The 13248-nt window shown below is 37.8% G+C and overlaps 1 pseudogene; it reads right to left on the minus strand.

Moving 5' to 3' along the window:
- Nucleotides 1145–13195, minus strand: RNFT1P3 (ring finger protein, transmembrane 1 pseudogene 3; annotated as a pseudogene).

The raw sequence follows: 13248 nt of genomic DNA on the forward strand, positions 1-13248 counted from the left end.
TTTTTTTGAGGTGAAGGAATAGCGGGATGGAAGAAATACTTCCAGTTCATCAGCATTGTTATTGGATGGCATAGCTCCATTAGATTTTCTCCCTTTTCAATTTATAGGTAAACTGCATTCCAAAAAAACCCCACCATGCACCTCCTTGGTTCTTTAATCACATTAAGAAACAGTGCTGTCTGAATAGTTACAGGGTAAGCAAATGTATTAAATAGGTATTGTAATAGGGCTGAAGTAAAATGCTATTCTTGTGTTTGAACAGGAAGTCATCTTGGCTATCCTTCACAGCCGAATTGTAATCCCAAACTGCTTTTCTCACCCATCCTCTGCTGTATACCTAAATAATACAACTATTAGCATCACCACGAAGCCATTTAAATAATATTTGTAGTGGGTCTCAAAGTAGATAATAGAGTGAAATATACTGTAATTGAATATAATTGTACTTAGAACCTGGTAGTATTTACCTGGAGAAAAAAAGGTACAGGCTTCCTAATGGTCGCTTGTCAATTTGGATGGCCATACAGTCATGAAAGTGCCTTCTATAGCCAGTTGGTCAGTATCCTTATTAATCCATGTGCTGGTTTAGCTTTTGTCTTATCAGTACAGCAAATCTGTTTTCTACCTCTGCTTCCTAAGTTCTCCTTTCTACCACCTTTTCCTCGACTACAAACTGATAGATGCACTCTAAACTTAGATATAACCAGTAGCAGCCCTTCAGACATGTTTTAGATTTCAGATTCCTCCTTAGAGGTAACACGGGGAGAAAAGTGCTTCATTCCCTTTTCTAGCACCCTGCACAAATACCTAGAGGCGAAAAACCACACTATCAAAACCTCATGACCACCTCTCAGTGCAAGCTTTAATCTTCCAATTGATGGTGAGTCAAGCATAACATTCCAAAACTTTTATGGAGAAGACTATAAGGGCAATTCTTTTCTAAGATTTTAGGGCATCTGTCTTGAAACTTTTTAATTTTTTTTTATATAGAGATAGGATGTTGCCCAGGCTGGTCTTGAACTCCTGGGCTCAAGCAGTCCTCCTGCCTCTGCCTCCCAAAGTTCTGGGATTACAGGCATGCGCCACCATGCCTGGCCATTTGTCTTGTTTTCTGTACTACTCAAATCATCAAGTAAGCCAGCTGTTTATAATCCACATGAATTATTTTAATAGTTACCTCAAGATACTCCATGGTACTACACAAAAAGCATGATCATGAACATTAAAGCTGATGGCAGGAAGAATTTATGAGGTCCACAGACAAAATGAATTTAAATCATTTATTTTCACTGATTACTAGTCATACTACAGAGAATAATACAATATTAAAATGTATCATCCTCGGTAAATTAATCTTCACTTAGAAAATCTGTTACTGATAAAATATAACATTTAGAACTTTCATTTAAAAATACAAATTTTATGAAAATATTAAGAATTTTTAGGATGGGAATTAAAAAGTCAATGCTGAAAGCAGAATTCTACTTTTAGATAGTATGTATCTTAAAATATTATGAAAAATATTCTTTATTCTGAAAACAATGCTGGAAAGAATACCTGAGTTCTCTAAAACCACTAGTTCTAGTTTCAAATTGCTGTTTTGGTAATATTAAGAAAACACATTTACAATTTAACACTGCAGTTACCTGTCAAATAATTAGAATAGAATGTTGCATATACATTAGGTTGAACATTATATATATTTTAAAACACAGGGTGGTTTCATTTAATCTTTTGGTGAATTGGACCGTTAAGTCTTACATTCTAAAACCATCTGGAAACATTTTTCTGGTAGCCCCGAAAATCCATTCTGATGCCTTATCGGTAGTCATTATGACCAAATGACATTAGTATTTTGTGGCCTTAATAGTTTATACAACTTAATAATTTTGAAGGTGTGATGAAGTGGCTCCATCTTTCCATTTGTTTATATGGTCTGAAATCACAGCTCTGCAGAGTGGACATGTTTTCTCTCTGTTAAACCATAAGGTAATGCACTCTTCACAAAATATATGCTGTAATGGGCTGGGCGCGGTGGCTCACGCCTGTAATCCCAGCACTTTGGGAGGCGGAGGCGGGCGGATCACGAGGTCAGGAAATCGAGACCATCCTGGCTAACGTGGTGAAACCCCGTCTCTACTAAAACTACAAAAAAATTAGCTGGGCGTGGTGGTGGGCGCCTGTAGTCCAAGCTACTCGGGAGGCTGAGGTAGGAGAATGGCGTGAACCCAGGAGGCGGAGCTTGCAGTGAGCCGAGATCACGCCACTGCACTCCAGCCTGGGCACAGAGCAAGACCCCATCTCAAAAAAAAAAAAAAAAAAAAAAAAAAAAAAAGCCGGGCACGGTAGCTCACGCCTGTAATCCCAGCACTTTGAGAGGCCGAGGCAGGTGGATCACGAGGTCAGGAGATCGAGACCATCCTGGCTAACACAGTGAAACCCCATCTCTACTAAAAATGCAAAGAAACATTAGCTGGGCATGGTGGCGGGCGCCTGTGGTCCCAGCTACTTGGGAGGCTGAGGCAGGAGAATGGCATGAACCCGGGAGGCAGAGCTTGCAGTGAGCCGAGATTGCGCCACTGCACTCCAGCCTGGGCGACAGAGCAAGGCTCCGTCTCAAAAAAAAAAAAAAAAAATTATACATATATATATATATATACACATATATAATTATATATATGCTATGTATATGCATATATATATGCTGTAATGGAATTAAGAATTAAATTTTATACTTGATAATCATTTTAAGTCCATCACACTGTAGGGAATGAAAGGGATTTTTTTTTTTTTTTTTTGAGATGGAGACTGAAGACTTGCTCTGTCCACCCAGGCCGGAGTGCAATGGCGCCATCTCGACTCACTGCAACCTCCGCCCCCCGGGGTTCAAGCGATTCTCCTGCCTAAGCCTCCCAAGTTGCCGGGGTTACAGGTGACTGCCACTACCATGCCCAGCTAGTTTTTGTATTTTTAGTAGAGACAGGGTTTCACCGTGTTGGTCAGGCTGGTCTTGAACTCCCGACCTCAGGTGATGCACCCACCTCAGCCTCCCAAAGTGCTGGGATTACAGGCGTGAGCCACTGCATCCGGCCTGAAAGGGATTTTGAAGAGCACTAATCCCCTCATTTTACAATTGTGAAAATGGAGAACGTATGAGACATTCAAGAAGACAAAGAGCAGTATGATTGGTAGAGCCACTAGTGTTCTGACTGTACCATCCATTTAACCATAAAAGCGATCCTTAGGTGACACCTTTAAGATTAAGTATGATAACAGCTTAAAGTCTTTGAGTTACTAGTAACTGCCATAAAGTATAGGAAAGGGCCACAATCCAGTAACAAATGTCAGTATTGTTCTAAATGACTAGTATCCAATTATAAAAATTGCCTGTTTTTTAATCACTTTGGTATTCAATCTGCCAGTTGAATTATTTTTTCCCCATTCATATACTCCTCTGCATAAAAATCATCAGAACATAAGGGACAAAACTTAGCCAATCCACCAATCCCCTGATCATGAATAAATTACTAGTATGTACCCTGAATGCTACCTTACACTAAACACTAGACTTTTTTTTTTTTTTTTGCCTTACAACAAACATAAATGTGACTTTTGCAAGTCACAGAGAAGTGTTGCATTTAGGTTTTTAAATTTAAAAATATAATTACCTGACAGATGAGAAGAATTGGCTTCTGAAATTCAGCTTGACATATTGAACAAGTACCATCCACATCTGAACACTGTCTCTTGCTGGCAGCCACTCCATAACTCTATGAAGATAGTAAGTTCTGTTAATCTACAAATTTCTTTCTTTCCTATTCCTCTAATTACATAAGTGATACCGTACTTCTCCAATCTCCCTGGAACCAGGCATTTAAAAACCTTCCCAAAGGATACAAACATTTCAAAGCTGAACCACATATACAGAACCACCTCTCGAGTGCACCAAGATGAAATCATTAAATAATACATCACAGGATTTTGGAAGATTGTTAGATCTACTAGCTTTACAAAGGATGATAGTGCTTCAAATTCAACATAACTGGCTTAAGAGACTAAGCAGTCTGAAATGTAACTATTATAAAATCTATAGCCATGTATTATTTGACCCAGGACTGCCAAATTGAGCTAACTTATTACCTACAGCAGTGGTTCATAAAGTCGATCCAGCCAGAGCTTGGCTGGCTGAATGTAACTCATGTGGAAAGCTTGCTTTAAAAATAGATTTCTCTGTTCCACACAATATTGATTCTGTAGGACCAGACATACTGGGATGTGACCCAGTAATCTATTATTTGAAAGGTCTCCAAGTGAGTGCAATATGAAGAAGACTTAGGGACCACTGAAGAGTGTTCTGCCACTAGGTCTAAAAATTATTATTCCAAATTATAAAAAGCATTTAGTGCTAAAAATGAATGATAAAGTGTTACAGAGAAACTGCAATTGTAAATATCGCTTGGGTAGAATAACTACTGTCAAAACGAACTGAACAAAAATGCAATTATTTGAATTTTCTTCTCTTCGAATGTCCTAATAACAAGTTTCTGGTCTCTAAGATTTTAACTTCCTCACCAGATTCAGAACTTAATCATTAACTAGATGTGATGTTAATAACCCTCAGTGAAATTTGGAGAAATCAAAATGTTACAAATGAAACCTTCTTTCTGTAGAAATGATGGGGAAGAGGCAACTAAAGAGATGTAAGAACACCCAAGTTCAGTCACGGTCATGAGGGTAAAGAGTTATCTAAACTTCTTGTACTAAAACGTCTCAGGCTAACAACATCAAAATCAAAGTAAAACTCAAAGGATAAAGATATTAAAAATTAAGGTTTTTTGAGACTGGTGATAAAGATTTCAGAAACAAGTCAGGATACTGTTAGATGATCTTGGTGTCAATTTCCCTTCAGTAAGGTGTCATTTAGCAAAGTACATTTGCAGATAATTATGCTGACAAGCTTTTAAGACATTACTCATCTGGCATCTTGGAGACTCCCTCTCCAGAGAGTAACTGCCATTTCCCTGGTAAAGGAGACTTGAACAAGTCAAAGTATTGATGACTGATATCCTCTCTATAGTTTGTCTCAGAGAAAGAATATCAGGGTATTTTCTTGAGAGTATTTTGGCACAAATCTTACAAGACCAATTATAGTAAAATGGTTGATGCTCACATAATCATCAGTTGAATTGACTTGGACAAAGCTGAACTCTCAGAATTTTATTATGTCTTGTCTAGTGAAAGAAGCTTGCATAGGATGTAGCAAAGTTTGTTTCTACATTGCTAACTCTATCTTAGGGAAAAGATGCCCTGGCTGGTTAGTCTGGTTTACTTTGTAGACATAATCCTTTTTTTATTTTTATTTTATATTATTCGGTTGGCATTCTTTTAAGTCAGTCTCCTTGAGCCCTGATGAAATGACTGCAAAGTTGAGAATCAAACCCCGAAATCTGGTGACCACACGTAGGTACTGGGAACCTTTCAGGCTACTAAATAGTAAATTAGGGTTCTCTATGACATCCTTTCACTGCAATTTGCAACATCAATAGAATCACATAATAATGTTATAAATGACACCACAGTCTCAATTAATTGTTAAATTTCATGCCATGAACTTACTTGTGCACATAAAATCGAGCAATGGGGAAATTTGCTCCAGTAAGAAAACTTCAAGAGACATGATTTTTGGCAATGAGCTTTCTAAACATACAAAATAAATTACAGTGGAAGGATTTTCACAGGTGAATAAGGAGTTAATAGGAACACACAAAGCCCCATTTGTGAATTAAAAAAGAGGAACAAAAGTTCATAAGATTTTTAAGGGTTTATAAGTCCTTAAAAATGTCAAATGGATTGAAGGGGCAAGAAACAAGTTCAAATATATAAGTACTGCAACAATTAGCAGGTGGTTGTCAATGTGTGATTCAAGAATCTGATCATAGAGATAAAACTCCTAAATTATTATAGCCCCAAGTGCCAAAGTACTAGAAAACAGTCAAAGTAAAAGAAAAGGATCATCTATTTATGAAATCCATTCTTGTAAAACTGCTGAACTAAAAAACTTTTTGCAATGAAGAAAGGTGAAGGTGTTTTTCTTACCTGATAAAAAGTACTTAACTGGTCATGTAAAAAATATTCGTAAAACCTGTCTGAAAGTTCTCAGATGCCCAAAAAATTCCAAAAGCTGAAAAGGGAAATAAGAGATCATTTATTAATTCAAACAGTCCTATCTGCTAAACCCAAAAACCAAAGCTGAAATCCCATAACATCAAATCCTTATATTAACTTAATGCTCATTATATGTCACAACTAATCATTTTGTGCTGAATATTTTATTCAATTTATAGATTTGAGCCATCTCAATCAGGCTGAAGTACATTTAAATGCCTAGAGTAACAATTTGATCAAGACAAATACAAATGTAACTATGTCAAAGTCAAAGCAATTTTATCTGATTCACACGTTTTTAACATTTACATTTTAAAGTTTCATAAAGTGATTATTAGGTTGAGGGGCGCAGGCATGGAGAGAACAGGACAAGATACTCTACTAGTTTAAGAATTATGTATATGACAGTGTTACTATTGAGGATGGGTATGTTCTATTCCAGTTGTTTTCCCTACTTAGATAATCCATGCTATGTGAAGGTCTACTCCCCTTCCCTCCAATGAAAACTGAAACCGCTGGATTAAGATAGTCTATTTCTGTTTCTCTATTTCTAAATAAATATAGAACCTGCTATTACTTCAAACTAGTGATACAAAGATAAACTATAAAACTGTGAAAGAGGAAAATAGTAGTATGTATCAGTAATCATTAATATGAATCATGCAGTGACAAGATTTGTAATGTTACCTACTTTTAGTACGAGGTAAAGTAAAGCCAGCAATATCCTAAGACTCCGTCTAGTTACATTACCAAACTCCCCATAGCTTATAAGGTAGTGAAACCAAACTAGTATGGGAACAAAAGTTCGGTAGTATTGATACAATTCTTCTAAAAGCATATACCAGTAACCCTAAAAAATAAGGAAAAAGAAAACAAATAGAGCTACCCAAACTACCTAACTACATAGCACAAACAATACTAGACTGAGAACACTGAGTATATGATACAATAATATAAATAACTATAAAATTAATCTTCATAATGATTACGACTGAACCTCAAGCTGGTTCTCACATATTACAGTCACTGAGTGGGCTGCTTTGAAAGAATTTCTAGGCTGGATGCGGTGGCTCCCAGCACTTCAGGAGGTTGAGGCGGGTGGATCACCTGAGGTCAGGAGTTTGAGACCAGCCTGGCCAACATGGTGAAACCCCGTCTCTACTAAAAATACAAAAATTAGCTGGGTTTGGTGGTGGGCACCTGTAATCCCAGCTACTTGGGAGGCTGAGGCAGGAGAATAGCTTGAACCCAGGAGGTGGAGGTTGCAATGAGCCAAGATCACACCACTGCACTCCAGCCTGGGCGACAGAGCGAGACTTGGTCTCAAAAAAAAAAAAAAAAAAAAAAAAAGATATAGTGAAAATGTTTTATGTATACTGCAAGTAAAACCTATATATGTTTTTGCTGGTTATAAAAATTTTAAAGTTTTTATTGCATATGGGAAACCACTGAATAATTGTATATAGTCAACTGTCAATTGATAATGCCCTGGACAACAGAAGTACCAATCTAAATAGTTTCCCATATATGATGTGGGGACTGATTTTAAAATTATTCTGAAGCAAATATAATTCTGATTTTATCCAAATAGGTTAATATTCAGGTTCAAGTGCTTGAACAAATGGTTGCCAGGCTGAAATAATACAGATAATTAAAGCTAGTTAGCAAACTGAAAAATTGCAAAAGGAGGATTCATTTAAACAAAGACTAAATAGCATTAATGTGATTAGTTAACATCACTGCAATAAAGCATAAGTTAGTTTCTTACCTTAGATTTAAAAGGCATGATGAAAGAAGGCACCAATAAGATAAGGCATTTTAAGCTCATGAAAAAGAATTTCAGAATGAAGTCTGTAATTCCAATAATCCAAAGTACTTCCCAGAAGCTCAAATGGTCCAAAATAGGATATAAAAAAATTCAGCCACCAAAAGAAAATCATCAAAATTTACCAGAGCAACATACAAAGGTAAAGTATTAAGAAAGAGTTTTAATTTGCTACAAATATTTTATTTTGATATGTAAAAAATATGAATTTGGCAGGATGTCAGAGTTCACATTAATGGAATGGAGGATCATTTTGCTTATTTTAAAGAGATTTTTAAAATGTTTGGAATTTAGATCTTCCCTTCATAGAATAAGGAAAAAGTCTTCACAGTTTGTCATAGTTGACACCTTTCTAGCCTGTAAACAAAAAAAAACTCATCAATACCAGACATCTCCCATGTTTTTCTTCACCAATTCCAATCAGGATTCCATCTCTTCCTTTCAGTGAATTGCTTGTCAAGATCATCAACTCCCTCTGTATGGCTAAATTTCAAGGTCACTTCTCTTTTTCCGTCTTCCCTCCCTGAATAATTTTCTTTCTAGACTTTTAACACAACAGTCGTCTATTTCTCATATTTCACTGCTGATTTCTTCTTAGTCTCCTTTGCTGTTTCTCTTCTAATTGTGGTCATGTCCCGTACTGGGCTCTCTATCTGCACTCTCTCTTTCCTGGGTTAGTTTTGTCCAGTCCTGTGGGTTTTTTTTTTTTTTTTTTTTGAGACAGAGTCTTGCTCTGTCACCCAGGCTGGAGTGCAGTGGCACGGTATCGGCTCACTGCAAGCTCTGCCTCCCGGGTTCATGCCATTCTCCTGCCTCAGCCTCCCGAGTAGCTGGGACTACAGGTGCCCACCACCATGCCCAGCTAATTTTTTTGTATTTTTAGTAGAGACGGGGTTTCACCATGTTAGCCAGGATGGTCTTGATAACCTGACCTCGTGATTCACCCAACTCGGCCTCCCAAAGTGCTGGGATTACAGGCTTGAGCCACCGCGCCTGGCCCCAGTCCTGTGGTTTTTAAATATCAACCATGTGCTCCTGATACCAAAATTTATAGCCCTAACCTCTACCCTGAGTTCATGACATATATTTGGAACCACTTTCTTACCAATTCTACTTAGCCTCTCAAACTTAACATGTTCAAAACAAAATTATTGATTTTTCTCCAGTTGCTTAGACTAAAAACCCAGAGGTCATTCTTGCTTCTCTCCACCCACCTACCCAATCCAGTCCATCTGAGGGATACTGGCTCCACCTCCAAACTATATCCCAGATTTGCCCATCTCTCCAACTCCAGTGAAATCTGGTCTTCTAATATTCTGGTAAAAGCTGAAGATTCAGAATACTCCCATTTGACATGGAAACTTATCAGCTACTGTCATTTAGTAAGTGTTCTTACTTTCAGAAAAAAAGACCAACAATAACAACCTAATGGTACTTAAAAATTATGGAATATATAAACAAAAACTCAGGTATCAAAAATTAAATATTTATTGAGCATCTGCTATGTGCCAAAGCACTGGGGATACAAAATCTGAATAAGTTACGTAAAGCTCTTGCTTATGAGGCCGGGTGCAGTGGCTCACACCTGTAATCCCAGAACTTTGGGAGGTCAAGGCAGGTGGATCATGAGGTCAGGACTTCAAGACCAGTCTGACCAACATGGTGAAACCCCATTTCTACTAAAAATACAAAAATTTGCCAGGTGTGCACCTGTAATCCCAGCTACTCAGGAGGCTTAGATGGGAGAATTGCTTGAACCCGAGAGGCAGAGGTTGCAGACAGCCAAGATCGAGACACTGCACTCCATGCTGGGCGACAGAGTGAGACTCCATGTCAAAAAAAAAAAAAAAAAAAAAGCTCTCGCTTATGAAAGGAGACAGTTAAAAACTGAACTGATTGAATACAATAAGTACTATGTGAAGTAAGGTACAAAGTGCTATGAAACATGATTACATTAAAAATGTAATTGTGTATTTGGACCTCTAATTACCTGTAATAAAGTGACTGAGAATGAAAGGTGTAATATAAAAGAACAGAAGATCCTGCTAAGAATACCAGTAACCAAGCACACTGAATCTTTGAGGACCTTTCCTGAAAGGTAAACAATTTTATAATGTTACTTTGATTTTGCCAGAATTTTAAATATCATTAAACTGTTTTACTTTAATGACTATTAACTTAGAACATTTTTCTAAATCTTAATATAGAATATCTGTTAAACTGTACATAATCATCAGTTACTTTGTTTTATACAACTTTAGTGACCAAACAGAACTATTATATTAAACAAATGTTTAAAACACAAGTTTCTTCACCGTATGAAAAACATTACCTATGTTTCAAAGAAGCCAAATCTTCTCTCAAAAAAAAAAAAAAAACAAGAAAATTAAATTAAAAAAAAAAAAAAAAGCCAGGTCCTCTACAAGCTGACATAAAGGACTCACCCAGGACGGGCGCAGTGGCTCACACCTGCAATCCCAGCACTTTGGGAGGCCGAGGTCGGCGGATCGCTTGAGGTCAGGAGTTTGTGACCAGCCTACCCAACATGGTGAAACCCATCTCTACTAAAAAAAAATACAAAAGTTAGCCAGGTGCCATGGCACGCGCATATGATACCAGCTACCCAGGAGGCTGAGGCATGAGAATCGCTTGAACGCAGGAGGCAGAGGTTGTAGTGAGCCAAGATCACGCCACTGCACTCCAGCCTGGGCGACAGAGCGAAACTCCATCTCAGAAAAAAAATGGACCCACCCACAAAAGAAAATTTCAAAATGCATTTTAACCTTGACTCGTCAAGGTTTATATTTTTAAAATTCTCAGATTATAACAATTTAATAAATTAATCTGTTTTAATCTTACTTTTTTTTTAATATGGCTTCTTGACACATTGCCCAGAACTCCTAGGCTCAAGCCTTCTTCCCAACTCAGCTTCCCAAGTAATTGTAATCTCTTTTTTTTTTTTTTTTTTTTTGTGACACAGGGTCTCACTCTTTCACCCAGACTGGAGTGCAGTGGCATGATCACAACTCACTGCAGCCCTGACCACCTGGGCTCAGGCAATCCTCCCACCTCAGCCTCCTAGATAACAGAGATTACAGGCATGTGCCACCACGCCCACTAATTTTTTGATTTTTTGTAGAGATGGGGTTTTGCCATGTTGTCCAGGCTGGTCTTCAATTCCTAGGCTCAAGCAATCTGCCCATCTCAGCCTCCCAAAGTGCTGCATTACAGGCATGAGACACTGTGCCTTGCCTGTAATCTCACTTTTAAAGTCAAGTTAAATGAAAAGTTTTACTAATTTTAAATCATTAAGATTTTTCTAGTTTGATAGGCTGAACTATAGATTTCCAGGTCAGAATGCATGATACTTTACACAGACATAGCCATTTAAAGTTGCCTTAAGGTGAAATTTTAGAAACTCATCCTATTTTTTCCCAATGATTTATATGACTAGGGCTTGAGTAACTTATGGAAAAATTCCTTGGGTTTAATTTTCTTTTCTTTTTTTTTGAGATGAGGTCTCACTCTGTCACCAGGCTGGAGTGCAATGGCACGATCTTGGCTCACTGCAACCTCTGCCTCCTGGGTTCAAGCAATTCTTCTGCCTCAGCCTCCCAAGTAGCTGGGACTACAGGCAAGCGCCACCACGCACAGCTAATTTTTGTGTTTTTAGTAGAGACGGGGTTTCACCACATTGGCCAGGCTGGTCTCAAACTTCTGACCTCAGGTGATCCACCCGCCTGGGTCTCCCAAAGTGTTGGGATTACAGGCATGAGCCACTGGGCTTGGCACAGGTCTTTCTTTTTTCTTTTCTTTTTTTTTTTTTTTTTTTTTTTTTTTGAGACGGAGTCTCAGTCTGTATCCCAGGCTGGAGTGCAGTGGTGCGATCTCAGCTCACTGCAACCTCCGCCTCCCAGGTTCAAGCAATTCTCCTGCCTCAGCCTCCTAAGTAGCTGGGAATATAGGCACGTGCCACCACGCCTGGGTAATTTTTTGTATTTTTAGTAGAGATGGGGTTTCACCGTGTTAGCCAGGATGGTCTCGATCTCCTGACCTTGTGATCTGCCTGCCTCGGCCTCTCAAAGTGCTGGGATTACAGGTGTGAGCCACTATGTCCGGCCACTAAAAGTTGTTAACGATGATGATATTACTTAGTATCATCAAAGTAACTCATATAACATGAAGGGACTTGCCAAATCAGATCGAATAGCGTGTTCTAACTCTTTTAATCCTTTTTACTACTTTTTCTTTAACAGTAACCAATTTTTTTTTTTCTTACAAAGAAGGTAAGGTGAAGGAATTCAGCATTAGGAGAAATAATTTATTCCAGGATTTAGATAACAAATTTAATATATCATGGAAGTTACAATATATCCCATTACTTCCTATTTTTTTCAAAAGTTATTTCCTATTTCTCTCAAAATTATTTGTCTAAAATCTATGGAGAGAAACAGTTAATAATTTTTTAGTTGCTTGTTATACTTGCTTAGAAAAACCTGATTTACAGTGCTTTTGTTTGCATACATAAAAGTTGTTAGCAGCCCAATTCCAAGAGAAATTCCTGTTAGAAAATAAGTTCCAGTTAATTGAAAGAAAAAAAAATCAAAGAGGATTATATAAGCTAACAATGACACAAATTAAAAGTAAACATATACAATAATAAAAGCTAACAAAAAATAAGTAACTGAATGCATTAAGTAGACTACCAATAAAGAAAATTAACTGATTTTCAGAATGAAAACAAGTCAATGTTTTATTATGCCCTACCTGTTATATGCTGCATAACAAGTTTGACACTCAGAATCAAAATATGTGGAAGACTTTTTTGCAACCACTTGAAGAGCTACTACCGTGATCTCCAGATTCTGCGGCAGTATCATCAGGCAGCCTTGCTTCACTGTGGGAGTGACCCTGTAAGTGACTGTGTACCCATCCATGGGCACAGCTATGGACATCTGACCTTATATTTCTGGAGCTTGTATTTTCCGCACATTCTTTAGATATGGCATTTATCTGGATATGAACATCTCCAGAATGAAGACAAGAACCTTCTTCTGTCAATCTTGTGTGGACACAGTGAGGGGCTGAGGCATCCTCACTGCTTTCAGTTCCTGGAGGACTGCGCAGTTGGCTACGATTGGCTTGCGTGGCCCTTAAATACTTTTTCTCTGACCCACATGTCTTTGCTTCAGGGCTCTGTCTCCTAAAAAATCAAATAGCAGAAAATATTCTAAGTAAACAGGCAGTTAAATACCGGC

Source organism: Homo sapiens, chromosome 17 (genome assembly GCF_000001405.40).
Source record: "Homo sapiens chromosome 17, GRCh38.p14 Primary Assembly".
NCBI lineage: Eukaryota > Metazoa > Chordata > Mammalia > Primates > Hominidae > Homo > Homo sapiens.